Source organism: Homo sapiens, chromosome 11 (assembly GCF_000001405.40).
Source record: "Homo sapiens chromosome 11, GRCh38.p14 Primary Assembly".
Taxonomy (NCBI): Eukaryota; Metazoa; Chordata; class Mammalia; order Primates; family Hominidae; genus Homo; species Homo sapiens.
The window spans coordinates 118,225,633-118,253,090 of NC_000011.10; the positions used below are offsets into that span (position 1 = coordinate 118,225,633).

The 27,458-nt window shown below is 40.9% G+C and overlaps 1 protein-coding gene across 5 annotated transcripts, besides 5 other annotated features; it reads right to left on the minus strand.

Annotated features, from left to right (window-relative positions):
* Positions 1-1,057: 1,057 nt before the first annotated feature.
* MPZL3 (myelin protein zero like 3) lies at positions 1,058-26,733 on the minus strand. 5 transcript variants are annotated; one of them, NM_001286152.2, is made up of 6 exons: positions 26,590-26,733; positions 14,579-14,709; positions 11,418-11,628; positions 9,792-9,957; positions 7,828-7,891; positions 1,058-4,288 (listed from the first exon to the last, which is right to left on the minus strand). In NM_001286152.2, exons 1-6 carry the CDS (start codon positions 26,660-26,662, stop codon positions 4,262-4,264), a joined length of 672 nt encoding a protein of 223 aa, NP_001273081.1. In that variant the 5' UTR covers positions 26,663-26,733; the 3' UTR covers positions 1,058-4,261. The 5 variants fall into 5 exon arrangements, 3 of the variants coding, with proteins under 3 accessions (NP_001273081.1, NP_938016.1, XP_006718838.1); NM_198275.3 differs by having other exon boundaries at positions 14,579-14,745; XM_006718775.3 differs by lacking the exon at positions 26,590-26,733 and adding an exon at positions 15,456-16,015 and having other exon boundaries at positions 14,579-14,745.
* Positions 15,411-16,610: an enhancer, noted in NCBI's record as "BRD4-independent group 4 enhancer chr11:118111758-118112957 (GRCh37/hg19 assembly coordinates)". NCBI's record gives its function as "activates an origin of replication core promoter dependent on BRD2, P300/CBP, MED14 and CDK7 cofactors, and independent of BRD4, by STARR-seq in HCT116 cells {active_cell/tissue: HCT116}" and the evidence as "EXISTENCE:reporter gene assay evidence [ECO:0000049][PMID:35650434]".
* Positions 15,879-15,948: an enhancer, noted in NCBI's record as "active region_5585". NCBI's record gives its function as "activates an Ori minimal core promoter by ATAC-STARR-seq in GM12878 lymphoblastoid cells {active_cell/tissue: GM12878}" and the evidence as "EXISTENCE:reporter gene assay evidence [ECO:0000049][PMID:35858748]".
* Positions 26,053-26,614: an enhancer, noted in NCBI's record as "NANOG-H3K27ac-H3K4me1 hESC enhancer chr11:118122400-118122961 (GRCh37/hg19 assembly coordinates)". NCBI's record gives its function as "activates a minimal SCP1, AML or CMV promoter by ChIP-STARR-seq in naive H9 embryonic stem cells {active_cell/tissue: H9 hESC(naive)}" and the evidence as "EXISTENCE:reporter gene assay evidence [ECO:0000049][PMID:30033119]".
* Positions 26,216-26,265: an enhancer, noted in NCBI's record as "active region_5586". NCBI's record gives its function as "activates an Ori minimal core promoter by ATAC-STARR-seq in GM12878 lymphoblastoid cells {active_cell/tissue: GM12878}" and the evidence as "EXISTENCE:reporter gene assay evidence [ECO:0000049][PMID:35858748]".
* Positions 26,615-27,175: an enhancer, noted in NCBI's record as "NANOG-H3K27ac-H3K4me1 hESC enhancer chr11:118122962-118123522 (GRCh37/hg19 assembly coordinates)". NCBI's record gives its function as "activates a minimal SCP1, AML or CMV promoter by ChIP-STARR-seq in naive H9 embryonic stem cells {active_cell/tissue: H9 hESC(naive)}" and the evidence as "EXISTENCE:reporter gene assay evidence [ECO:0000049][PMID:30033119]".

Sequence of the window (27,458 nt, forward strand, 5' to 3'; positions counted from 1 at the left end):
TTCAAAATAGGTGTTCTCAATGTACGCACCTTCAACCTCGGCTAGATTGGCTTGACCTAGGCATGGGCAGACTCATGGAACTTGTCCTGTATCATCTGAAAAGCTGTTGAACGTTTGCTCCCAAGCACTACGCTGCATGGTCCTTGAGAAGTGATGTGCTAGAGAGCCAGCAATCTCCACAGCATAAATATTCCCATCATAACCTATTTCAAGCTACCAACAGTTTAACAACTGGCTTGCAAAATTCCTAAAAAACTTAATACAGGTTGAGTATCCCTTATCCAATATGCTTGGGACCAGAAATGTTTCAGATTTCATATTTTTTTCAGATTTTAGAATATTTGCCGAATACATACAAGTTGAACGTCCCTAGTCTGAAAATCCAAAATGCTCCAATAAGCATTTCTTTGGAGCATCATGTTGGCACTCAAAGTTACAGATTTTGGAGTTGAAATAGCAACCACTCTTTTGTATTTTCAGATTAGGGGTACTCAGCCTGTAATCAGCTCTTGCTATGTAAGCTGGTTCCAGCACACCACGGAACCTCTGCAGGTTCTTGCGGGGGTACAGCTCCGACATGACTGGTTGCACGATGCTGAAAACCACTGTTAAATCAAGTTTAGCCTAAAGCTGCCTCCTTACATATTTTAAGTTTGGCCTAAAGGTTTCTCTGTACATCATGAACTATAACGTAAATGGAATAGTATACGGACTCTAGTCTACTCTTGTGCCAGTCACTGAGTTTGGCCAATCGAAGATGGCCAATGATTCAAACTATTCAAATAAGGCAAACACCGAGCTGTAACCAATCCGGCTATTTCTGTACCTCACTTCTGTTTCCTGTACATGACTTTCCTTTTGCTGTCCATAAATCTTCCACCACGTGGCTGCGCTGGAGTCTCTGAGTCCACTCTGGCTCAGGAGACTGCCTGATTCATGAATCATTCTGTGCTCAATTAAACTCTTTTAAATTTAATTCAGCTTTTAATACCACAAACCCCCATCTTTTTCACATGACAATTCCCACCTTTTATGTAGATATGCACACACCAAAAGGTAGCCAAAGGGTACAAAGAAGTTTATTGACTATGATGCAGTAAAGATACCAAGAGTTACAATATTTGTGCATATGGCCCAACAGTGCCTACCCTCCTACAAAACAAAAACAAAAACAAAAAAAGGCAATGAGGTGCAGCAGTTAACAGCCCAACACTGGAGTCAAAGGAATGGAGCTGCCTCTTCTGGCAGCAAAGTTTCAAGTTGTGCAATTAAATAATAGTCTTGGTCCACTCCTTGTGGGTCTTCTTACAGTTTCCCTTTAGAACCATAACTGAGTGACTTAGTAGAACATTCATATTCAGGATGTGGCCTCCAGAAGTGTCGTTTTGTTTTGTTTTGAACAAAGACGTGCTACCTTCTCTCTTGAAGCACCAGTGCTGGGTTCAGGAGCTACAGAGGACTAAGATGTTCCCCAAGTAGCCTGAAGTAACAGGTCACATGGAAAACACAAAGCAATTGGTGAGTCCACATTTTGTAATAGAATTAAGAGCGTAATGCATAAAACTTAAAGTCATGTAACCACATGTAAAAACTTCAGCAGCTAAAGAAAAATTCTGGAAGGCTTTTAACCCCTTCTGAACTAAGTTCCCTTTCTAAACGAGGCTGGTTTCCATGGCTGTGACAAGAGCTCATGAGGTAGCAAAAAGAGAGAGAGAATAGCACCTTAGAAGTTACTCAAACAAGAGGTGAAACAAATAAGTAAACAAAAAAAGACCACTTTATCTTCCTTTCATCCTTAAAGAAGGCAGGTGTCTGTACACTGCTTTGTGATCCTTCGAAGAATAAAAAGCTGTAACCCAAATCTCAGTATAAGGGATGAAGAAGGAAAATGATAGCAGCTGATGACTGGGATGCGACCACAAACCCATATAGTAAACTAAGTTATCAACGTACTCCCTTACCACGAAGGACTTCATTCAGTCATTTAAAAAGCAAGGGACTAGTTCAAATCATGATTAAGGCTATAAAAGAACACGACTGAGTATTCACAGAGCACCAATTACCTCAAGTTTAGACTAGGTGTCAATCTACAAACATACTACCCTGCATTAATCTTCACAACACACCTGCGAGGACATTACAAGAAGGCCCAGCCAAAATTAGTTCCTCATTTAATGGGATATGGCTTTCAGTGGGTTCCTGTAACACCATCTCTTTCTTGGAGAAATGAGGACCTGCAAAATAGTCCCCCTCACAATGAGATCTCTATCTTCAAATCTCTGAGAGCCCAAGTTATTTACTCTCATTGCTCAAGTTGCTTTCCTCTCTCTGTTGAGGTGTCAGAAATGGTCACGTTAGATTGGCCTCAGACAACCACAAAAGTTAACAAGCAGTCCCAAAGTACCGTGAGGTTTAACCACTGGAAATGTAAACTGCCGGTCCTGTCTTTGCCCTTCTACTTCCTCGCGTGACCAGAGTCAAATCACAATGTCCTTCAACTAACCAGATTCGCTCATCTGTGGACTAGGTTAACAGAAGAGGCTAGGCCAAATCTATGATACGGATCTAACAACCCAAATTTTTTAAATTAAGTCTTCAAAAAAAAAAGAAAGAAGTTGAGAGAGAGAAAAGTGATTTTTAAACTAACATATACAGTCTGAAGCGCTGTAATATGGAAACTTCCTGAACCACCTAATGAAAAATCATGAAAAGGGATCAACCTGTTGAAAGAATAGAGACAGGTGAGGGGATAATTTTTGTCTCTCATAATTGAGAAGTAAATCCAATCACTATTACAGAAGACTATTTATATATGCACCATCCATCTTTACTGATATACTATACATATGCCTTAATGGCTTATAAAAAATCCTATGTAAATTAACATTTGAAACAAGTTGTCATAGCAGAATGGAGTAACCTGCTGTAAGGCACTGAGAGAATACAAAGGAGAAGTATGTCATGCACAATCTCACTTCCTCATCTCAAATATTATGTAAAAACCACTTGCAAATACCATAGTTTACTCACAGTTGGCACATTTTAGAAATCAACAAAGTTTTGAAAAACAATACAAGTGAAAAGATGATTTAATTTGCAAAGAACTCCTGAAATACTCCATAAGCCCCCCACTAAAAACCTGTAAAGAGTTTTTCTTGCCTCTGACCTGAAAATTCAAGAAGAAAAGTTGTAGTTATAAGAAAATAAAATAACAGGCCAAGCACAGTGGCTCATGCCTGTAATCCCAACACTTTGGGAGGCCGAGGCAGGTGGATCACGAGGTCAGGGGATTGAGACCATCCTGGCCAAAATGGTGAAACCCCGTCTCTACTAAAAACACAAAAATTAGCTGGGTGTGGTGGCGCATGCCTGTAATCCCAGCTACTCGAGAGGCTGAGGCACAAGAATCGCTTGAACCCAGGAGGCAGAGGTTGCAGTGAGCCAAGATCACACCACTGCACTCCAGCCTGGCGACAGAGTGAGACTCTGCCTCAAAAAAAAAAAAAAAAAAAAAAAAGCAAGACAGAAAATAACAAAGACTCCTTAGCCCAAATTGTACCAGCAAGACTAAAGAAAATAATTTTTCTACTTCACGATTCCTTTCCTTAACTGTAAATTGATGACACTGTACTTAATACTTTAAAAACCCAGTCAAAGCAAACCAATGACTTGATCCTACCAACTCTAAGGAAACTAAGGGTATACACCCTAAGTTATCCAAACACAACTGAGGTTGAGGTCATTAAACCGGTAAGTATACGCCCTATACTAACTCACAGCTGAAAGTGTACATGGAGCAAAAAACAAAGAATACATATCCCAAGCGAATATTTTGTCTGGTGACACATCAGGAAGCCACAAGCTCCACTTCATTTAAAAAATTATTTGGGTATCAGCGGTGTGGCAAACATTCAAAATTCTCCTTCAAACAGTTGGAAGAAAACATGTAATACATTCCAGAGCAAAGATGAATCAAAAAGTATCTTTTTGCTCAGGAAAAGAATTTCTTCATTCAATTACAGCATAATTCATTGAAAGGGGAAGTCATGAGTCTCTTATGAGAGTTCCTGAACAGTTTATAAATACAACAAGAACATTTATTCAATAAATAAGTGGTTCCTAAAGTCTTTACTGATGATCTCCAGGATTGTCCATCGCTATGGTCCAGGCCAGCTCCACTTTCTCTGACAGGCTTTAGCTGCCAGTGGAATGGGATGTTTCCTGTCTTTAGGTGACTCTTCTTGTGTCATACAGACTTTCATCAATATGTCTCTTCATAGTCTGAATCCTGGAGGGAGCAAAACAGCAGGTGTGAAACACAATTCCAGAGTTGGAATTTAGGCAAAGACCACATGTTAGGATCCTCCAAATGGAACCTGGCTTGGGGAGACAGCCACAGTGAAATGCCACTGACTCAATACACCTAAATTCCCACGGAGCTTCACAGGACCTCAATATAATTGGTGTCTATTGGGCTAATTTCTGCTTTGAAGCCCTAGTGGTTTCCTTTCCCTTGGTGAATATTTTTTAGAACCTCAACACACAAGAAAAGATGCCCGCCTACCGCACCCTTTCTTAGCAAAACAAGTGTCAGTGGAATCACCCCAGCGATCCTCTCCTCACTCTCTTGCAGAAATGTGCAAAATTGTGGTTAGGAATTTAGACTAAGTGTCAGTCTACCACTGAGTTCCACCTCTTGTGGCTGTGTGACCTTGGATAAAGTTATTAACTTCTCTAAGCCTCAGTTTCCTCATCTGTAAAATGGGGATAATAAAAATACACCTCATAGAACTGTTATGAGAATTGAATGAGGCAATATATGTAAATTACTTAGCACTGCCTGGCACTTCATAAGCACTCATTCAAGATTAGCTCCTGTTACCATTATTATTATTCATACTCATATTCATTACTTCTAACTTCAAGTGGGCCATTAGCACTAACTGGCATACCACACTTCTCTAGTCTATTTATTCTCCTTGATGACTATTTCATACCCTTCCCTCTTTCCCCAAACTTCCAACACCTCCTCTTCCCATCATTCTCAGCTGACGGCCTTGCTTTCTCCCATGATTGGGACTAGAGAAGCAATTAGTAGGGAATTTCCACAAGCTCCATCACATGTGGCCACTCATCTACATCTGGATCCATCTATTTGGCCTTCCCTATTGTTCTTATACACTCTCCCTGTCTTACTTTATCTAAGGTCAACATCTCCACTCCACTTATGCACTAGATCCTGGCATTACACCAGCAATCCTCTCCTCTCTGTCTTGCAGCATCAATTTTTTCCTTCTCTACTACATAATTCCCATCTGCATACAAATGTGTTCATTTTCTCCCATCTTAAAAAGAAAAGCCACCAGTGACATTGCCCTCCACGTATTGCCTGTCTCTCTGCATCCCTTCACAGCACAAGTCCTTGAAAGAGTTGTTTATGCCCACTGCCTCCAATGCATCTTTCTGCAATCTTTCTTGACCCCACCCCAGACAAGTTTTCATTCCCACTATTCCACTGAAGATCCTTTTGCCAAGGTCACCAATGACCTCCATATTCCCAAATCATCCAATAATCAATTATCAGCTCTCATTTTACTTCACCTGACTCCACAGCAAATGACACAGTTGATCACTCTCTTTTCCTAGAAATAATTCTCCACTTGACTCCCAGGATACCAAAATCTCCTGGTTTTCTTCCTATCTCACTAGCCGCTCTTTCTTAGCCTCTTTACTAATAATTCCTCTTCATCTCCCCATCCTAGAAATCTTGGAGGGCCCAGGTTCTGTCCTCTGACCCCTTCCCTATCTACATTCATTTCCCTGGAGGAAATGTCTGTTATCAGTCTCTATCTGCTAATGGCTCCTAAATCTCTATCTCCAGTCTAGACCTCTCTTCTCAACTCCACACCCACAACTGCCTACTCCACATCTCCACTTGGAAGTTTAATAAGTATTTCAAACTTAATATGTCCAAACCCAACTTCTGTTCTTCCTCCTAAAGTTTGATTCACCCACAGACTTCCACATATTAGCAAATGGTAACTCTATTCTACCAGTTGCCCAAGTCAAGAATCTTGGAACTACCCTTGAGTCCTCTCATTTTTTCATATATAAATGCAGAAGCAGTAAATCCTTCTGGCTTTACCTTCAAACTATAATCAGAATACAACCACTCCTCACCACCTCCACCACCACCACCCTGGTCCAAACTACCAGCATCTTCAGCTACCTGGATTAATGCAAATGCCTCCTACTTGGACTCTCTGATTCTGTCATTGCTCGTTACCACCCATTCTCAACACAAAAGCCAGAGTAATACTTTTTAAACAGACATAAGTTGATACTGCTTCTCTTCCCAAACCCTCCAATGGATTCCATTTCATTGAGTAGAAGTCCAGGTCATTAAAATCATCTATAAGGTTCTGTAAGATCTAGCTGCTGCGTTACTTCTCTGATGTCAACAAATAGTATTCTTTGCCTTGCTGTCTTCATTTCTGCCATACTGCCCCCTTGCTACTCCAAGAATATGCCAATCATGGCCCCTCCTCAGAGCCTTTGCACCAGTCACTTCTTCTGCCTGAAACGCTCCTCCACAATAGCCATATGGCTTGCTTCTCTTAGGTGTTTGCTTGAGTATCTTCTCACTGAGGTTGTCCCTAACCTATTAAATGTCACACCCCCATCCAGCCATCCCATCCCCCTTTTCTGCTTTTTTCTCCATATCATTAAGTACCATCTCATATACTATATATTTTACTTATTTTTAAAAACTTTGTGAGTATTTGTACCCCAATTCAACAGAGTCTTAGAGGATGAGAAAGTTTTCCAGGCAAAGAACATTCAGTTCTCGGAGGGCAGGAATTTTTCTCAGTTTTGTTCACTGCTGGTTCCTAAGCACCTAGAACAGTACATATGGCACGTGACAGATGCTCAACAAATCACTGTTGAATGGATTAATATCTGAAATGTGGATAATAACCGTATGAACATTAACTTATTTTGCGTTCTTAAAAATATCCGAGCCTCCAAAGGTTGGTATTAGGTCCTCTGCACTGGCATTACCAACCTTTCTCTCATCTTCCCTATGATACTCAAGTGCATGAGACAAAGAAAAACAAAAAACACTGCAATTAGTCATCGAGCCAAGTGTGAGCTTGGCAATAAGTAAACAGGAGGCAATGACAGGTATGTATCATATGAGATCAGAAGTTCTTTGTGACCTGTTTCCAACTGCACCACATCAGAGAGTCTTCCCTCCTGCTGGGATCCTAGGACACCCACCCCAGCCTCCTAATTGGACTCTCTGATTCTGTCATTAGTCACAGTGAGTACTCAAAGCAGGAGGGATGACAGCCTTTTGACATTTAAATCAAAACTTGGGCCTTCCAGGGTGGTATTTCTTATTGATAAAAGACATCAAGTTACCTAAAAGGTTATATCAACCTAACTCCCTGAAAAATACTACAGCTCAGTAGAAAAGTTAAATTCAGGGTCGAGTCCAGCCAGTCGAAGTCTCCTAGTATGAATTCAGTGGCATAGGACACTCCTGTTTTGGGATTTTCTGTCAGTCAGCAGAAACTACTCTACGTGGCCCCCTTCCCTAACCTAAGACCACTGCTCTACGACCACGAGACAGGAAACAAAATCTTGGTTAGAATTGGTAGGGGTCCCCTGAGTCCAAAATGCTTTGGGGAAAGATGCTGGTTCATATCTTGCTTGGACCTACCTGCATATCCTCTGCTGCCTCTGAGGGCATAGGATGGATCCTCTTAGGTAAGCAGGAAAGTGGGACATCAACAGTAAGCAGAAGGAATGGCATGCACTTACCAGGCACTCAGCGCAACGGACACAAAGCCTCGCCATACACGCCTCTTCCTCCTCCTGATCAGTGCTGTAAAAAGAGGACAAACCAAATCTGAATCACCACTATCCTCAATAGAGTAGAGCAGTTGAAAGTACAGGTGTTGAAATCAGACAGGTCTGGTTTTAGATTCCAGTTCTTCCACTCACTAGCTGGGTGACTGGGCAAATTGTTTAAGCCCCAGAAGCCTGTTTCCTCATCTATAAAATGCACATATTGGCCAGGCGCAGTGGCTCATGCCTGTAATCCCAGCACTTTGGGAGGATGAGGTGGGTGGATCACCTGAAGTCAGGAGTTTGAGACCAGCCTGGCCAACATGACAAAACCCCGTCTCTACTGAAAATACAAAAATTAGCTGGGCGTTGTGGTGCACACCTGTAATCCCACTTACTCAGGAGGCTAAGATGGGGAATCACTTGAACTCAGAAGGCAGAGGTTGCAGTGAGCCAAGATTACACCACTGCACTCCAGCCTGGGTGTCAGAGTGAGTGAGACTCCCATATCAAAAAACAAACAAACAAAAAATGCACATATTACCACCCACCCTTAAAGCACAGTTGTTAGGAATAAATAAAAAATAAATACATGTGAAACACATACCATAGTGCCTGGCACATAATAAATGCTCAATAAATTATCCCTCATTCAGAAGTGTACTGAGCACTGACAAAGTCTGAGCATTGTGCTAGCCTAGAGGTAAAAAGATAAATAAAACTTGAGCCTGTGAAGGGCTCATGATGGGGGTGAGAGACCTGTTAAAACTTAACAAATATGTTATAATGCAGTGTGATAAGTGTTTTAATAGAGTTAACATCAAACTGCTGCAGCAGCAAAGAGTGAGGAGTGACTAATTGTCCCCTGAGGTCTCAGGGAAACTCAAGAGAAGGGGCTATTTCAGCTGGGTCTTGGAGGATAAGAAAGAGTTTCCAGGCAAACAAGAGAAGGAAAGAGGGCATTCCCAGCAAGTCAAAAGGAGGGGTCTTAGAGGATGAGAATGAGTTAGGAAAAATATACGAATGAAGTATAGTATGTTAGGGCACATAAATAAGTTCATGGCAGCTGGGACGTGGGGAGATGTCAGGGAACAATGTGACTTAGAGTAAAATCATAAGGGGTTTTGGATACCATGCTTAGAAATAGACATTAGCATTTTTACCAAGAGTTCTTTGTCTTTTTTGAGCCACAGATTCCTTGGAAATGGCACAGGGTGCTCTCTTATCATTAAATAAATGCACACACACACACACATACACACACACACACAGAGAGAGATTGAATTTTGGACCTTCTCAATGTAAGACTCCCCTCCCCTGACATAGATAATGGAGAAAAGGGGTTTTACGTAGATTTTTGTTTTGATTTCCTTTTACTACATTTATTTTTAGGGAATTTACTAGATCATGCCTGCTTACTGGCAGAATAATGTTTAATAAATCTTTTTAATAACCACGATCCATGTAGCCCCTCCCTTCAGAATATATGCGGACCAAGAATAGATCTCGCTTATTCAAATCGCTTTTGCCCTCCACAGCTATTCTTAAAGCCTCTCTCATTGCTCAGGCATTTTCTGTCAGGAGACATCATCAGCTCAGTGCCAAATACAAGGTGAAGGAAAAATAATTGACCTGGAATTGAAAGAATGAAACATTGACTTCAGAATTTATTCAGACCATGGCACTGTACAATCTGATTTCCAAAGCAGAAGACTAGGACCATATATCAACTCCCCCATCTCTCTCCAAATTAATATTCACACACATCACTTTCAACCTTCCTTTTGGCGCCCCTTAGCAGAACTATTCTCTTTGAAAAGAAAGTTCACCAGCAGAACTAAACTCGGTCCAGAAGAAAGGAAGGTGTGGATGTGGGGGTCTGGGTAGAGCGCTAAGGAGGAAACAGGCTTGCTGCCCAGGGCTCCTGCTGGACTTACTCATCGGAAACCTCAATAGATGACTTCTTATAGCCAGACCTGCTCCTCTTCTTCAGCCCAGCAGCCTTCCTCCCCATTCTCACCAGCAGCAGAGCAACCACCACGGCTGAGGGCACAAAGACAAGGATGGAAAGAAGGGCCACAGAGGAAAGCATGGTGCCAAAACCTAGAGGCGGAGAAAGAGAAGGTAAAAGACAGGGACATGCAAATATGCCTCCTGCGACATGAGCAACTAGGTTCTACTTTTGCTCTTATATTTCTTCTGATTACAAAAGTAATAAATCATTGTGTGAAAGGTAGAAAATACACAAAAGTACAATGAAGAATAAAAATGTACCGATAATCCCACTACCTAGGAAGAACACTTTGGTATCTACCCATTTAATCTTCTTCTAGGGGTATCGGGTATGGGGTGCAAGGAGGGCATATATATTTTTAAGTATGGATCATATATTATATATTATTTTAACCTCCTTTTTTACTTATAATATGATAAATATTTAACAATTCCTTCCAGATGTGATGTGTAATCGCTGCATAGCATTCTATCACATTGAATAATTTATAGAACTAATCCTCTAATGCTGGACATTCAAGTTGGTTCGAATTCTTAGAATCTACAAGTCACATTAGGATAGCCAGGCTTGTACATAAATCTTCATCTTTAGCTCTAATTCCTTAAGATGAAATTTACAATGGAATTACTAGATCAAAGGGCCTATATTTTTAAGGCACTGATTCATACTACCAAACTGCCTTCCAGCAAAACTGTATCATTTTATTCTTCTGCCAGCAGTATGAATGTGCTCATCTTTGAAACCTACAAGTTATTACCTTTAAAAGAAAAAAGAAAGAGAGAGACAGAAAGCAAGAAAGAGAAAGAGAAGGAAGAAATGAGACAGGGAGAGAGGAAGGGAAGGAGAAAGGAAGGGAAGATGAGAAGGAAGAAGGAAGGAAGGGAGGGAGAGAAGGAGGAAAAGAGCAAGGGAGAGAAACTTGAGAAAGACTTGAGAAATGATGACGAATCTATAATGACCCATAATGTACCTCTAAATCTTTAGCTCAAATCCAATTAAGGACTAGCATGACCACTTAATCGTCATCAGGGAATAACATAGAAAAAAAAATCAGTCCTTAATCTACTCTTCTCCTGTTTCACACTAAAGGGAAACTACTGTTCTTTGCAGCATAAAAGAAAAGCACTACCTCTCAACGTTAGAGGGGGTACCCTTTCAAGACACAGGCAAGAACACTATGCCATAACTGGGAGTATGAACATGCTAGGAAAACTGGAATGACTTCTATTTCACAGAGATAACAACCCTATATTTACTCAGGGGTTTTCCGTGCATTCCACAAGAACTTTGGTCACCTAAAGTTAAAATTAAAAAAAGGGTAATGGAGAAACTATGACAAAATTTGGAGAGAAAATTCAGTTTTCAAAATAAAGATTAAAAATTCACCCCAACATACATATTGGGATGGCAGAAAAATTACTTCGATTCAATGATTTAATGACCCAACTGGCTTACAAAGATAGACAGCTTTGTTTATCATCGAGCTCTCCAGAAAGCACCACAGCAGTCACAGAGCACTGCAGAAGAAGGTTGGTGGCAATGAGCTTACCCCTTTCTGTGACTGTTAGCTCTGTCATGGGAATATTATGATGCACATCTGGGGGATTCTTCACAGCACAGCTGAATGTCCCATTGTCCTTTATGGTAGGGTTGCTTATACTTATAGATGCATCCCCTTTGTATACATTTCCAACCCAGGAAATCCGATCCCGAAATGTGCCTGCTGTGGTTGGGTACTGGAAAGACTGATAATGAAATATCTAAGAAAGCAACACCATGAGAGAAAAGGTTAACTTGGAAAATGCAATGAAAATATAAAGCTCAGTAGGTCCAAAATAAAATACAACTGTATAATGGTGTGTTTTTTTTCAGTTGGGCAACTTTTTATGCTTTTTTAACCTCCATCCTATAGGTTAATAAAACTGATCAGAAAAAGGCCCGATGAGAGACTTCTGGGATCCTAACCCTTGAATCTCTTCTAAATTCTCCCTGGAACCCTAAAATAATAGTTCTCAACCAGAGGCAATTTCACCCTCCAAGAGATATTGGCAATATCTGAAGACATTTTTGATTGTCACAACTGGGGAGATGCTACCGGCATCTAGTGGGTAGGGGCCGGGAATGCTACTAAACATCCTACCATGCACAGGACAGCACCCACAGCAAAGAATTATCTGGCTCAAAATGTCAACAGTGCCAAAGTTGGGAAACTTTGTTCTAAAGTAGCATCTCGTATTTGAATAGCACTCTATAGTTTGCAAATAATTTCCACACATTTACTCACTTGAGCCTCATGACTACACTGAACTACATGAGGCAGGTATAATTATTCCAAATGTATAAAAAGGGAAACAGGCTGGTCATGGTGGCTCACGCCTGTAATCCCAGCACTTTGGGAGGCCGAGGTGAGCACATTACTTGAACTCAGGAGTTCAGGACCAGCCTGGCCAACATAGTGAAACCCCATCTCTACTAAAAATACAAAAATTAGCCAGGTGTGGTGGCATACACCTATAATCCCAGCTACTTGGGAGGCTGAGACAGGAAAATTGCTTGAACCCAGGAGGCGGAGATTGCAGTGAGCCGAGATTGTGCCACTGCACTCCAGCCTCGGCAACGGAGCTAGACTCCGCCTCAAAAAAAAAAGAAAAAAAAGGAAAGAAAGAAAACAAAGCCAAACAAAAGACTAAGTGAGTTGCTCTACGGTATACAACTAGTAAGTGACAAAAGGGAGATTTTTGCTTATTCTCAAAATCACAAGGAGGTTGTAATATAATTCAGCCTCTCTCAAGTTATCTATCTTGACAATTAATATAATCCCTAAGTCTAATACCTGATAAGTACTCAGTGAATATATGTTGAATTAAAATAATGCTGCCTAGGACTTGATCAGACACTTCATCACCAAAAGCCTAATTATCAGACACTTATCAAAAGCCTTGATTAGACACTTCATCACCAAAAGCCTAATTATACCTGGGGCAGGCCAGGCAGGTATTACAATATAATATGACTTATGCAATATGGCTTATGCAAAATACAGGCTTTCCTCTTTCTTTGTTACTTGGTACCTTCCCATTTAGGAACCTGGGTGTTTACAACCACTGAATTGCCCAATTTTGAAAAGCAACTTCCCAGAAAAGATGCTGACTCACTTATTCATTCATTTGTTCATGCATTTATTCAACAAATATTTGGTGCAGATCTCTAATGTGCTAGGCATTGTTAAGCAAAAGGATATGGTGGGAGCCACGCAGGCATAGTCCCTACTCTCACGGAACTTACATTTTAGTGATAAAGACAGATAATGAGAAATAATAAGTGTGTTGAACATTTCAAAGGGGGAGGTAAAGAATCCCTACCACTAATTATCAGCATCAGTGTAAAAGAGTTTGAAACTCCTTATTGACAAAACACGGCCCACTGTGTATCCTCGAGATTAGTCTAGCCCATGAATTCAATGTTAAGTTCATGAAACTCATATCCCTTGCAAATTGATTAATCTGACACAATCCTGATTGACTAACCCCATGACTGCAACATCATGTTATGTAACTTTAATTCCAACTTGTATGAGTTTGTTGATTTTCTGACCAGCCTTGCAGAGAGCAGCACTAGGAGAGAGCTGCTGTTTCTGACCCAGGAAGCTCCCCATTGCTTGCTCTGTCCTACTTTTTACCAAGGAGGCAGAGCCAAATAAGGCCAGCCACAGTTTCCTGACCACTCAGAATCAAGTGAACTATTTCAAGTCTGAAAAAAAAGTGGGAGGGGAGCATGAATACAGCCTAGCTTCTTTCACTGGAGTCCCCTACCTAGCCTCAAGCTATGTGGCATTCTATAATGGCTCCTAACACAGAATGCAAAGCTTATTTATACATGAAAGTCAAAGAGGACATTTTTCCAGTGAAGGAAATGGGATAAATAAATTAACAATACTTTAAAAAATACAATCTTCCATACAGCTATGACATTCACATTCTTGAATAACATCTATCCTGAGCTAAGGATACTGCTGGAAGCTTAAAGAGAAAAAAATTTTATAGCATTTTAATCTTCAATTAGACACCTACAATGAAACTTGGACCATAAATGTGTTTTATATGTGTGACTAATATACCTCAATAAGGTATATTGCTTCCAATATTGCAAGACCATCTGTCACCAACATCTGTCACCAACACGAGGTGCCACCATTTCCTTCAAAGGCAGCCATATAAATCAATGCAGATGTTTATACACTGGGAGAAAGTGCCAAGATAACTCCACAAAGCGCAAATATGCAAACAGATACACCCATTGAGACAACTTAATATGACAGAAAATGAGCAGCCTTAAGAGAAAGGATGTCCATGACTGGACCCATAGAATTTTTCTATTCAATAGTCCTGAAGGTACCCTTTTTAGTACATTAAATCTGAAAATGAAGCTATGAAATAATGCAAAAAGAAACAACAAAGAGGAAACAAAATTAAACCACATTTCCTCTGAGTTTCTGACAGCTTTTTTCCTGCAGCTTATTTACAGAATTCTTACGTGGGGCCCTGCGTGACCAAATGAATGTCATATAGGATAAAAGTTCATCTATCTCTATTAAAGTAGAAGCCCATCTTCTACTCTAAGATGAGATGGCCTCAGGCATGCCTATGATTTGCAGTAAAACAATTCCAAAACTGTTGACCAAAGGAACATTCCGAAAAAGTACACACTTACTGATACTGTGTGGCTGCTGCTGGGAGGGCGATATGTCCAGTCTATAGTAAGTTTGTCAGTGACATCTGAAGTTGACTTGAAAGTGCATTTCAACTTGATCTTTTCTCCAACATAACCTCGGACATGGGCATCTGCACGAATCTCCAAGGAAAAGACGATATAAACACCTAATCAAAGCAAACCCAAACACTTAAAATGCATTCATGTGGGTGGAATATACAGATGTGAGTGAACAATTATTTTTAGAGCCCTCATCAAAAAGCCAGAGCAATAAATATTAACAACTATCTTCTCAGGCAAGCCCACAAGGGACAAGGAGTTGATATCTGCATTAATCAAAGATAGCATTTTTCAATCATTTTCTAATCTTAAATCACAACTGAATGCTTGTGTAAAAATTTAAAATCTGGTCACACCAGCGTTTTCCCGAATACAGGCTTGTGGTTCAATTAAGTACAAACAATGGGTCTGCCCATGGCTGGCTAAAAGGCAACATCACCCATCCCCTTCCATCCCCCGCAGACACACACACACACACACACACACACACACACACACACACACACACACACACTCTGGGAATATGGCAGCTTTTGTGGTCTAAGGGACTTACCCCAAGTATAGCATGGTTGCATCATGAAGCTACCATTGCCTCATCAACAGCAAAATGAGAATAGGAAGTAAGAATGGGAGAATTTATTTCAAATAATTTTCTAAAACTGCCCCCAAGGTACTATCTAGTTTTTCCCTTTTTCTTAAAGCTGGCTGAGGAATCACACATCCATTAAAAGTAAATCATGGAGAAGAAAACAGAATAGGTAAATGCATTCTAGCAAGTAAAAATAAGGTACCATTTTAAAACCCACTAGAGACTTACGTCTTCCAAAACCACTCATTTATCCAACTCTGACACTTCATCTCTCTGAAAAGGGCTGGCACTTTGTTCTAACCAGTTCCTTCTGCTTTCAGAGAACAAAAACTTATCTTTCCCTACAGGGGCATATTTTAGGAAATGACATTGCCAGTACTTTGTTCTTCCTGCTTCCTTATCTACCTCAAGAAGCCATGAATCTTCTGCTGGCCAAGATAAACAGAGCAGCAAGATTTCAGAAAAGTGCAAACCCACACGCTGTCCTGAAAATCGGCAGTGCTTCTGGTACAGGCAGAATGGTGTTGTGATTGAGCACGCAGGCCACGGCTCCTACACCAGAGGGTCTGGGTTCAAATCCCGGCCCTGTCACCTGCTGGCTCTGCAGCCTTAGTAAGTTACCGTACTTCTTCAGTCTTCTCAGCCTCATGGGAATGATAATAACAGTACTTACCTCAGAAGGCCACTGTGAGGATTAAAAGAGTTAAAACACATACAACACTAAGAAGCCTACCCGAACCAGAGTAAGTGCTCAGTGCGTGTTAGACAGTGTCATTGTCATTATTGCCACCTCTTCAGTCCTGCCCACACACTCTCAACCTTTCCTGTCACAGTTATGAGTCATCAGTTCCACTGCCTCTACCTCTGCCAGCTTTGAATCATTTTTCTTGCTCCTCTCTAGACAATCCAGTCTGTTGACATTCCTTTTAAAAGGAGGAGACCAAAACTGAACCCACTAATAAGAACTCATAAGAATCTGACCCTCCCAAAGATGAAGATTACTTCTGGTCTGCCTATGGCACCCTTTCCGACTTTGCCATGCTAAACCTGTCCTGCCTTCTGTGCCTTTGCAAATGCTGTCCCTCTGCTGGAAAGCTTTTATCCCTCAGTCCCCACTTTCTTAGGCCCTCAATCCTGACCCATCACTGTAAGAAAATCCTTATTCATCACTCAAGATCTAGCTCTAAAAACTGGAAGGTGGAAATGAATGGACAATCTACACTCTCCCCATGTCCATTCCTTTATCCTAAAACATAAGTATAATATTGAGATTTGAAATACAGATTTAGAATTAGCCAAAGCTGGACTTGAGTTCTAGCTCAGCTACTTTCTGGTTGTGAGACCGTGATCTCGGTTACCTAACCAGTTCAAGCTTCAATGTCTTCACTTGGAAAATGGGAATAATAACAAGATCTACTTCACTGGATCACTCTGAAGAGCCACTACAATCAAAAAAGAAAATTTTTCATTTTGATCATGTTGTTCATTTCACAACATGAAACGCTTGGCACAGCATCTGGAATAATAACTTTAATAAACATTAGCTATTATTATTAAAATGAACACCACACATATTCAAAAACTTTCAGTAATTTCCTATTGGACTACAAAATAAAATTCAGAGAGTGGCAATCTAGCCCTAAACTTCTGTCACTGCATCCCATCTACCTTCCCAATCCCTTCATCATTACTTGAATGTCCTGCCATGTCCCACATGTACTGTGTCCTTTCATGCCACTGAGCCTTTCTTTGAACAGGTCTCTGTCTGAAAGGCTCTCCCCACCTCTAATAATCCTGCCTGGGTTGTTCCCCACCACACCATATCCCAACATTCACACACCTTCAAATTCCAGCTCAAATATCGGCCCCCTTTGCGGTGCCTTCCCAAATTCCCTGATGCGGTTCATCGCCCTTTCTCCTCCTAACACTAGGTACATAATCCTGCACAGGCACAGATGCCATCGATTGCACCTAGTTACAAAGGCTATTCCTCTATTAAATGTCAGCACCTTCAGGGCAAAAATTCAGAGGGAGGGGAGCAGGCAGAGGGACACTGAGAGAAACAGGTGGACAGGTCACCAGAAATTCTAGTATAGGAACAAAGCATGCTTGTAAATCACCCACTTTATTCCTATCACCTTTTTTATAGTACATGCAATACTCTTAACTCCCCTACACTCCTATCTTTCCATTGCACCCTTTCAGAAAAAGCTCAGCTCTAGACGACCAGACTAGGCTAGTTGTGAACAAGAAAAATCACACGACTGGACAATTACCATAAGAAATGCGTGAATATCTCCCACAGCTGAGTCCTCAACGAGGCCTGGCAAACGTTTAACTGGCCTTGCTTAGCTTCCCATTCCATGATTCCTCAAGCCCTTGTCATTCTCCCTTAGTCCTCCATGCAACCTCCAAACCCCTCATTCTCAGAAGAAAATGTTACCTCTTACATCGTCATGAAACTCGAGGCCATATAAACGGCCCAGGCACACACATTCCTGCATCTGCTCCCATCCTTACTTCCAACCTGAAAGGATGTGGTGTCCCTTTTCCTATGCGAGGCCAGGTCCTCTGCTCTGCCTGGATTCATCCCCTCCATTCCCTGCTTTAGCAGAAAAACCTCTCTAGGCCAGGCGTGGTGGCTCATGCCTATAATCCCAGCACTTTGGGAGGCCGAGGCAGGGGGATCACATGAGGCCAGGAGTTCAAGAGCAGCCGGGGCAACATGGCAAAACCCTGTCTCTACTGAAAATACAAAAGAAATTAGCCAGGCATGGTGCCACATGCCTGTAGTCCCAGCTACTCAGGAGGCTGAGGCAGGAGAATCACTTGAACCTGGGAAGCAGAGGTTGCAGTGAGCTGAGATCACACCACTGTACTCCAGCCTGGGTGACTGAACGAGACTCTGTCTCAAAAAAAAAAAAAAACCTTTCTACTGCCTTCAACCCCTCCCCTTCAGCCTCTAAATACACAGGTTTCTCCCATCCTTAAAAACAAATAGCAATTTTAAAAAATCTTTCTTTAACGCTGTAATATTACTCTAGTTACCAACTACTGCCCTTTCTCTCCTTTCTAAGCCAAGTTTGTGAAAGAGTGGTCTACACTTGAGGTCTCCATTTCCTTCTTCCCATTCACTTATGGACCTTATGGTACAACTGAACTCCACTACCACTTCTGGTAAAAGGCATCATATATCTTAAAATTGTAAAATCCGAGGGATAAAAACCCCAGTAGACACTTTTCTATACTTATTTTACTGGGTCCTCTACCAGTGACTCTTTGCTCCTTGAACTTCTCTATCCCAAAGCTTGCATGACAATGCTCTCATTCATTCACTCATTCTTCAAACATACATTTCTTGAGCATCTCTTTTGTGCCATCCTCTGGGTTTGGAATTAAATGCAAGCAAAATAAATACACTCCCTTGTATACTTGAAATACAGCAGAAGTTTGATACATTAATTAAGTAATCATAAAGACAAATGCATAATTAACAAACTTGGATAACTACTATGAAGGAAGGAAAAAGAAAGTGGCTATGGGTACGGCCCCTGTTATGATGGGGGAGAGGAGAGTGGTTAATGAAAGCTTCCCTGGAAGTTACTCTTGAGCTAAGATCTGAAGAAAAAGGTAACAAGGTGAGGAGAGGGAGGGCATTCTAGGCAGAAGACACAGCACATGCAAAGGTCCTGCACCAGGAAGGAGCTCAGTCAGTCAAGGAGCTGAAAAGGAGTATGACTGCAACACAAAAAAACACGAAAGGGAGAGAAAATAGAATGAGATGTGGCTGGGAGGTAAACAAAAAACAGACCAGGCAGGACCTTACAGATTTGGGTCCTCATCCTTAGTGTAATAGGAAGCCATGGAAAGTACTTAACTGTGGGACTGGGCAAGAAGAGACCTGATGAAATCTGCATTCTTAAAAGATCACTTTAGGCTGGGCGCGGTGGCTCACGCCTGTAATCCCAGCACTTTGGGAGGCCGAGGCGGGTGGATCACGAGTTCAGGAGATCGAGACCATCCTGGCTAACACGGTGAAACCCCGTCTCTACTAAAAATACAAAAAATTAGTGGGGCGTGGTGGCAGGTGCCTGTAATCCCAGCTACTCAGGAGGCTGAGGCAGGATAATGGCATGAACCTGGGAGGCAGAGCTTGCCGTGAGCCGAAATCGCACCACTACACTCCAGCCTGGGCAACAAAGCAAGACTCCATCTCAAAAAAAGAAGAAAAAAAAGATCACTTTAGAGAAGACACTTACAAGGAATCAAGAGTGAATATGGGTAAATTCAGCATGTTGGCAGGCAGAGGTGGGTGGATCACCTGAGGTCAGGAGTTCGAGACCAGCCTGGCCAACATGGCGAAACCCCGTCTCTACTAAAAATGAAAAATTAGCCAGGCGTGGTGGTGGGAGGCAGAGGTTGCGGTGAGCCAAGATCGCACCACTGCACTCCAGCTTGGGCAATAGAGCAAGACTTCATCTCTTAAAGAAAAAAAAGAAAAAGTGAATGAGTGAATATGGGGAAATTACTGAGGAGGCTACTACGATAGTCCATTAAGAAAGAAGGGAAGTTTGAACTAAGTATGGCTGTGGAATGTTAGGGAAAGGGAGGTATCAAGGATGACTGTCAGGTTTCCGACTTGCTGATGTCATTCACTGAGACAGGAAGACTAGAAAAGTACTAGGCTTGGCAGGGGAACAGGAGTTTGATTCTGGATGCATTTAAGGTGCTTCTGAGATACCCAAGGGATAATGTCAAGGGAGCAGTTGGTTTAGGGCAAAGGTGAGCAAATTATGGCCCATGAGCTAAATGGAAGCAAATGGATCTAGTGGAAAGGGAACAAACTAAAAACAACTAGCAACTGACCTTGCCGCTAGCTCTGGGTGTGACCAGATTGGCCTAAATCAATTATGACATCCAGTGGTCTTTTGGTAAACAGCTAAAAAACATTTACAATGTCTTTTAAAACAAAGTTTTATTAGAACACAGCCATGTTCATTTGTTGATGTATTATCTGTGGCTGCATTTTTTGCAGAATTGAATAGTTGCCCCCAGAGACCATGTAGCCCACAAAGTCTAAAATACTCTCTGGCCCTTTACAGAAAATGTTTGTCAACCCTTGGTTTAGAACAAAGAGATATGGGTTACAATTTAAGATTAGAATCTCTTTAGTTTCCCTCCAACCAACTCCACCACTGACTGTGTTACACATACACACACACATACTCACTCTATCTCTGTCTCCCCACATCTCTGACAGTATGTATCAAATATCTAATGCTATTCTTTTCTTAACCATTCTTTAAACACTGGTGTTCCTCAGAGCTCCAGCCTGAATATACAGTCATTCAACATGTTTTCCTTGGACAATCCTATTCACTTGTAGATTTAACAACCACTAACAGGATAATGATTTCCCAATCTATATTACTAGCCATGATCTGCCTCTGAGTGTTCAAGTGTTACCGGATATACTCTCTTGAATATCACCCCCACAGGACCTCAAATCGAATGCGGTAAACATTTGTTTGTTGCCAGCTCAACATCCATTTCCCCTGATCTCCTAATAATACCCTTTTTTTTTTTGATACCTACCTTTTCCCACACAGCCTATGAGCTAGGAGGAAATGACACTATCAGTCAGGATCCAGGCAGGCAATGGAAGGCACAATCAGCTGAGATTGTGAAAAGTGTATGGGCCACTTTTCTTTTCTTTTTTTCTTTTCTTTTTTTTTTTTTTTTTGAGACAGGGCATCACTCTGTTGCTCAGGCTACAGTGCAGTGGCGCGATCTCAGTTCATTGCAACCTCTGCCTCCCAGGTTCAAGTGATCCTCCCATCTCAGCCTCCCAAATAGCTGAGACCACAGGCGTGTGCCACCACACCTGGCTAATTTTTTGTATTTTTGGTAGAGACGGGGTTTCCCTATGTTGCCTAGTCTGGACTCAAACTCCTGAACTCAGGCAATCCTCCCATCTCAACCTCTCAAAGTGCTGGGATTACAGGCGTGAGCCACCATGCTTAGCCTAGGCCACTTTTCGAAGGGACTTTTCCCAAGGTTAAGGAAGCTGACAGCAGCACAAAGCTTTTACCATCCCCAGGTCTGAAGGGCAAAGGGAGGAAATGGTGTTACTAGATCCTGGTAAGAGTGGGAGCTGTGGGCAACCTGACAGGGGCTGTTGTTAGAGGGATACAGGTACTACAGATCATGGCACCAAGAGAGGGAGGGAGCAGGAAATAAATATCCTGATCTCTCTCCTGCCCTCCAATCTCCTGCCAATGCCTCCCGTTGGCCAAATATAACTGGAAACCAGAGGAAGAGAGCCTGAATGATGTACTTTATACAGTTAGCTTTCCAAAGAGTAGAGTAGAGAAAAGAATGAGTCTGGTGGGAGGGGAGAAAACTAAAAGTAAACAGCAACTGACTTTACTGCCAGCTGAGGCTGACTCAGATTTACCTAAACCAATCATTACATCTAGTGGTGTCCTGGTAAACAGCAGAACATTTTTACAAAAAATAAAAGGTCCACATACATAGGGTTGGACAATTTCTGTGGTGCAAATACTCCTACCATGGTCAATTTCAAGCTACACAGGTTAAGTCCCTAATGCTGACATAGGAAGAGGTGTATTAATACTTAATTGGCTTTTGAGAGCCAATCACATCCTCCCAATCATAAAGATAGGTCAATATGTGATCTAAGCTAATCCAATCAAAGCGAGTTTCAGAAAACCTGCTTGGAAAGTTATTTAATGCCCCCCACCCCACACCCGCCTTGTTTATTTTTTGTTTTTTTTGAGATGGGGTCTCACTATTGTTGCCCAGGCTGGTCTTGAATTCCTTGGCTCAAGTGATCCTCCCATCTTGGCCTCCCAAAGTGCTGAGATTACAGTCATGAGCCACCATGCCCGGTTTATGCACCTCTCTATGTCTAATATTTTCTTCACTCCCTATCTCTAACAAACTTATTCCTCTTTCAAGATTTAACTTCATCTCCAGGAAATCTTTCCTTTATTCTCATGCCAGATCAAAGCATCTCTCTCCATCCTCATGGTTTCTAATGCATTTCCCTCTTAGTATCAGACTCTAAAATCATCTGTTGACTTATGTCTTCTCCAATAGATCCTGATCCCACCAAAACAGAGCCTAGCATATTGTGGATGTTTAGTATAGTAATATTTATTCAACTAGACCAAACCAACAGTTTCCTCTTTTTTTTTTTTTTTTTTTTTTTGAGATGGAGTCTCACTCTGTTGCCCAGGCTGCAGTGCAGTGGCGCGATCTTGGCTCACTGCATCCTCCACCTCCCGGGTTCAAATGATTCTTCTGTATTTTTAGTAGAGACAGGGTTTCACCATATTGGCCAGGATGGTCTTGAACTCCTGACCTCGTGATCCACCCGCCTCGGCCTCCCAAAGTGCTGGGATTACAGGCGTGAGCCACCGTGCCCAGCCCAGTTTCCTTTTTATAAAACAAAAATTATTACAAAATAAGCATTAAAATTACACATTCTGGTTACTAAATTATAGTAAATTTTGGTTACTAAACCAAATTCTGTTTGCTAAATTATAGTAAGTACGCCATCAATAAACCCACCTACCTACCAATTTTTCCCTTGTTAATATATCTGAACTCCATATTTATGAGCATGATTTTGCCAAAAAGTTATAAACATTTAAAGTCATTTTGTTGAAATCTAAATACTGGATATGTGGGGTCTTAATTGTATAGTTAAAGAAAAATAAGAAAAGTAATAGTTTATCCATGGATGAACTAAAATTCAGGGCTGGTGAAAAAAAAAATTCTAAATGACGATAATTTTGTACAGTCTTATATAAAACTCTGAGAACTAGAAGAAATTATTAACTTTTTTCTTTTTCTTGATTTTTTTTGGTTCTAATTCACTTGTTTATTTTGGGGGAGGAAGACTTTGGTATGGAGCAAAGAAATACCAAAACTACTTTAAATGGAATAAAACCAACTTTATTCTTTTTTTCCCCCGTACTGGTAGATAAAGCAAACTTTATAAGTGGGCTATTGAAAGAAAAGTGCCTTTTAAAAGTGTTTAGTTTCCCAGTGTCCTTCCAAGCTTAAGATACAGAAGCATTTGTTCAAAGGATAGAAAACATCTAAAAGTTTAGGCTCAAGATCAATCTTTACAGACTAATATTTTCGGTTTGTTTTTTGTTTGTTTGTTTTTTGAGACAGAGTCTCACTCTGTCACCCAGGCTGGAGTGCAGTGGCGTGATCTTGGCTCACTGCATCCATGGATGAACTAAACTATTCTATACTGTTAGACATCAGGGTGTTGACTCCTTTTTGGGGAGAAAGGATAATGACTGGAAAGAAGCACAAAAGAAGGCTTTTGGAATGCAAGGAACATTTTATATATCCTGATTTGGGTGCTAGTTACCCATGTGTGTTCAGTTTCTTAAAATTCATTGAGCTGTATAGGCTTATGACATGTGTACTTTTCTCTACATATATATACTGAAATTAAAAAATGTTTTAAAACCAATGGATGTAAGACAGTTTGTCTCTTCCACTCATAAAAAAAATACCAATCCAACATTAATTCACTCAGAAATGTCCATCCCAGGCCTAATGCCTTTATCTCTTCATCTGAGCAGAAAAGCATTCTTGCCAGGTAAAAACAGCCAACTATAGAAATACTCATAATAATTAACAAAAACTTTTTAGTCTGGGGAAAAAACAAGAAAATCACATTTTCACATAAGTAATTTTACACATGAAAGAATTAAATGTGTCAATAAAGCCCCCAATCTTGTATGCCCCATTTTCTAAAATACAAATCTACTGATATTTTATTCATATTGCACACCTAAGTAAAAGAGAGAAAAGTTTAAGAAACCTAGGTCCCCTAGTCTACCATTTCTAAATACTTAGATAACTGATATAGCAGGACCAGACTTATAACTTAAGGAGAATTCAAATAATCTAATAATTTAAGTGGTCTTATCTTTGAAAACAAAAGGCAAATAAACACTGACATGAAACCAAACTCAACCACATAAGATTTAAAACACCAAACAAATGGATGAACCTTGAAAACATGCAAAGTGAAAAAAGCCAGTCACCAAAAGCACATATTGTGTAATTCCATTTACTTTATTTTTATTTATTTATTTATTTATTTATTGAGGCAGGATCTCATTCCATCGCTCAGGCTGAAGTGCAGTGGTGCAATCCCAGATCACTGCAACTCCGACCTCCCAGGTTCAAGTGATTCTTCTGCCTCAGCCTCTCAAGAATCTGGGATAACAGGGGCATGTCACCACACCTGGCTAATTTTTTTTTTTTTTTTTTTTTTTTTTTGTATTTTTTGGTAGAGATAGGGTTTTACCACGTTGGCCAGGCTGGTCTCAAACTTCTGACCTCAAATGATCCACCCACCTCGGCCTCCCAAAGTGCTAGGATTACAGATATTATTCTATTTATATGAAATGTCCAGAATAGGCAAATCAATAGATACAAAAAAATAGACTGGTGGTTGCCAGGGGCTAAGGGAAATGGAGAGTGAGGAGTGATTGTTAATGGGTATCAAGTTTCTCTTTGGGGTGATGAAAATGTTCTAAAATTGATAGTGGTAATTATTGCATAACTGTGAATATACTAAAAACCATTCAATTATGCCCTTTAAGACAGTAAATTGTATGGCATGTGAATAATATGATAAACCAGTTGTTTCTTTTTTGTTTGTTTTTGTTTTTGTTTTTTGAGACGGAGTTTCTCTCTTGTCGCCCAGGCTAGAGTGCAATGGCGAGATCTCAGCTCACTGCAACCTCTGCCTCCTGGGTTCAAGCGATTCTCCTGTCTCAGCCTCCCGAGTAGCTGGGATTACAGGCGCCCGCCACCACGCCTGGCTAATTTTTTTTGTATTTTTTAGTAGAGACGGAGTTTCACTATGTTGGTCAGCCTGGTCTCGAACTCCTGACCTCAGGTGATCCAGCTGCCTCGGTCTCCCAAAGTGCTGGGATTACAGGCAAGAACCACCACACCCTGCCACCAGTTATTTTTTAAAAGGCAAAAAATCTATTCCACAAGTACATAGAGATTGTAAAATCAACTTTAAATGTTTGATTGAATTATATGGTCTGCTGGACTTGACAGATGCTCTTCAAAGCAAAATGACATTAGATTTAAGAAAACACCATTTCCAGATTTTTTTTCTCAATAAGACAATATTTGAATATTTCTCGTGTGTGTGTGTGTGTGTGTGTGTGTGTGTGTGTGTGTGTGAAAGAGAGAGAGAGAGGACTGGGTTTATTAGGAGTGACAGTAGGCCAGCCTAAATATCATACTGCAAAGTAATTTAGCTTAAAAACTGGAGACTTATGATGACACAGGCAGCTGGGAGGGATCGGGGGTGTGCTGGCAACATGAATATTAGTCACCAGTTAAAAACTTTCCAGCCTTAACTGCTAAGATTTAGGACATCTGAAGTCTTTATATTAAACTATTTATATTTATATAATATTAAATATCTCTTTCAGAAATCCCCATTACCCTCAAGGAAATTTTATAAATTTAGCAATTCACTCTAATACTAGATATACTAATATTTTATTTCCCAGGAAGACACACATACACAAAATCCAGGAAATAATTGTACCTTAAGATGAAGGTAATTAGGCTGGATTGAAATTTATGCAATTTGAAAATTATATGAAAGCAAAACTCACCTAATTTTAAGATGTGAATGTCAGTGTGAATACCCTACTTCTGATATTACTTAATAAATTTTAACAGAATTTATATGCTCTTTCTTGTATTAAAAAAAGTTATGAAAATGCTAAAGCAGTTACTTTTTCATCGATATGCTTCTCTATAACGAATCACATCACATCCCTTCTGTGACTAGCAAATATTTCATTTTATAGACTACAATAATCACCTACAAAAAATAAAATTACCAACTGTCATGATTTTGTTTCCCAAAACTACTGGGGCAAACTACTGAATGCTAGAACTGTTTTCTTTCTAATCAGGGTATACAGCGCCCAAACGACAGCGGTCAACCACTGATAATAACACCACAAAATAACACCGGGTGCCCCCAAAGCCAGAGCTCTTTGTGGTTCCATCAAGTATGCTATCACCAAACTACAATGACAGGTCACGCAAGGTGAAAAAGCTCCCAAAGCTCAGGAAAGGACTGACAAAATACCAACTATCCTCAACGGGGTGGTGATGACATCGTCCCAACGTCCCGCTCCCTCCCTCCTTCCTTCCCAGAGCTATGCGGGGGCTTTCTGGAGACCCCCCTACCCGGAACCGGAAAAGCGACCATCTTCCCTAACCCCCCGGCCGGAAGTGGAGCGTAGCCAGCCGGAGCACTCACCCTGGAAGAACAGGACGCCCAGCAGAGGGAAGAGAGCGCAGCCACGGCTTCCAGCTGCTCCTCTCTGCTGCATCCCGGCAGCTCTTCAGATGCTTGCACACCTTGTTTACAGCTCCCGGTAACGACACAGGTAACACCGGAAGTGACGTCAGAGCAGGAGGCCGAGAGACAACTTAAATGGCGATCCGAAGTTACCATAGGAACCTGGCTTCTTTCCAGAACCACACCTGGTTTCACTGACCAGAGATTTATTAACTTTCAGGCGGGAGCTAAATGCTCTCTTTTGCTTGAAAATGAAGTAGGCTACGGACTTGGAATAATTACAATTTTGTTTTTATGGAATTCTGCAGAACTAAATAATTTTGATGCTCTGACTGCATGTCAGACATCGTTTTTACGTCTCGAGATTTAGTTGAAGGTTCTCAGAATACACTACTGTAAATTTAGAGTTCAGAAACACCTGGGAGATCATACAGTATAGATAAATATATATTAGGTGCTTGTAGTGATATGTGCCACAAGCCTCATTGGTTGGTGTCCTTTTTAGTGTAAGTATTGCAGCCTCCAAAATTGGGTGTTTATTAAATTACTTTTGGCGGTGGCAATGATGATCAAATCATTACAGCCTGTATTAGAGGAAAAGAGGAACTGGGATTTCTGTGTCTTTGGTTGGAAAAGTAAGAAAGTTATGTTATCACAGTACTTGAAGTGAGATGGCGTCACATACTTCTGAAAAAGAGATGGTACAATAAGTACACTGCTTTAATAATCAGTAAGCCTCTTCCCTGGAAATTGCCACATGTCAATGAAAGCAGGAGGAGAATAAAAGTATGCTTTCGCTTTGGGGAAGAATTAATAAGTTTCCATTT

Excerpts from the sequence above, each read along its gene's own strand:
- MPZL3 (NM_198275.3), bottom strand. The coding sequence starts at position 26,662 with ATGCAGCAGAGAGGAGCAGCTGGAAGCCGTGGCTGCGCTCTCTTCCCT. Across the intron at positions 11,629-14,578 it reads GCAGCAGCCACACAGTATCA|ATATTTCATTATCAGTCTTT; the intron begins GTAAGTGTGTAC and ends TTGCTTTCTTAG. Across the intron at positions 7,892-9,791 it reads TCTATTGAGGTTTCCGATGA|CACTGATCAGGAGGAGGAAG; the intron begins GTAAGTCCAGCA and ends CTCTTTTTACAG.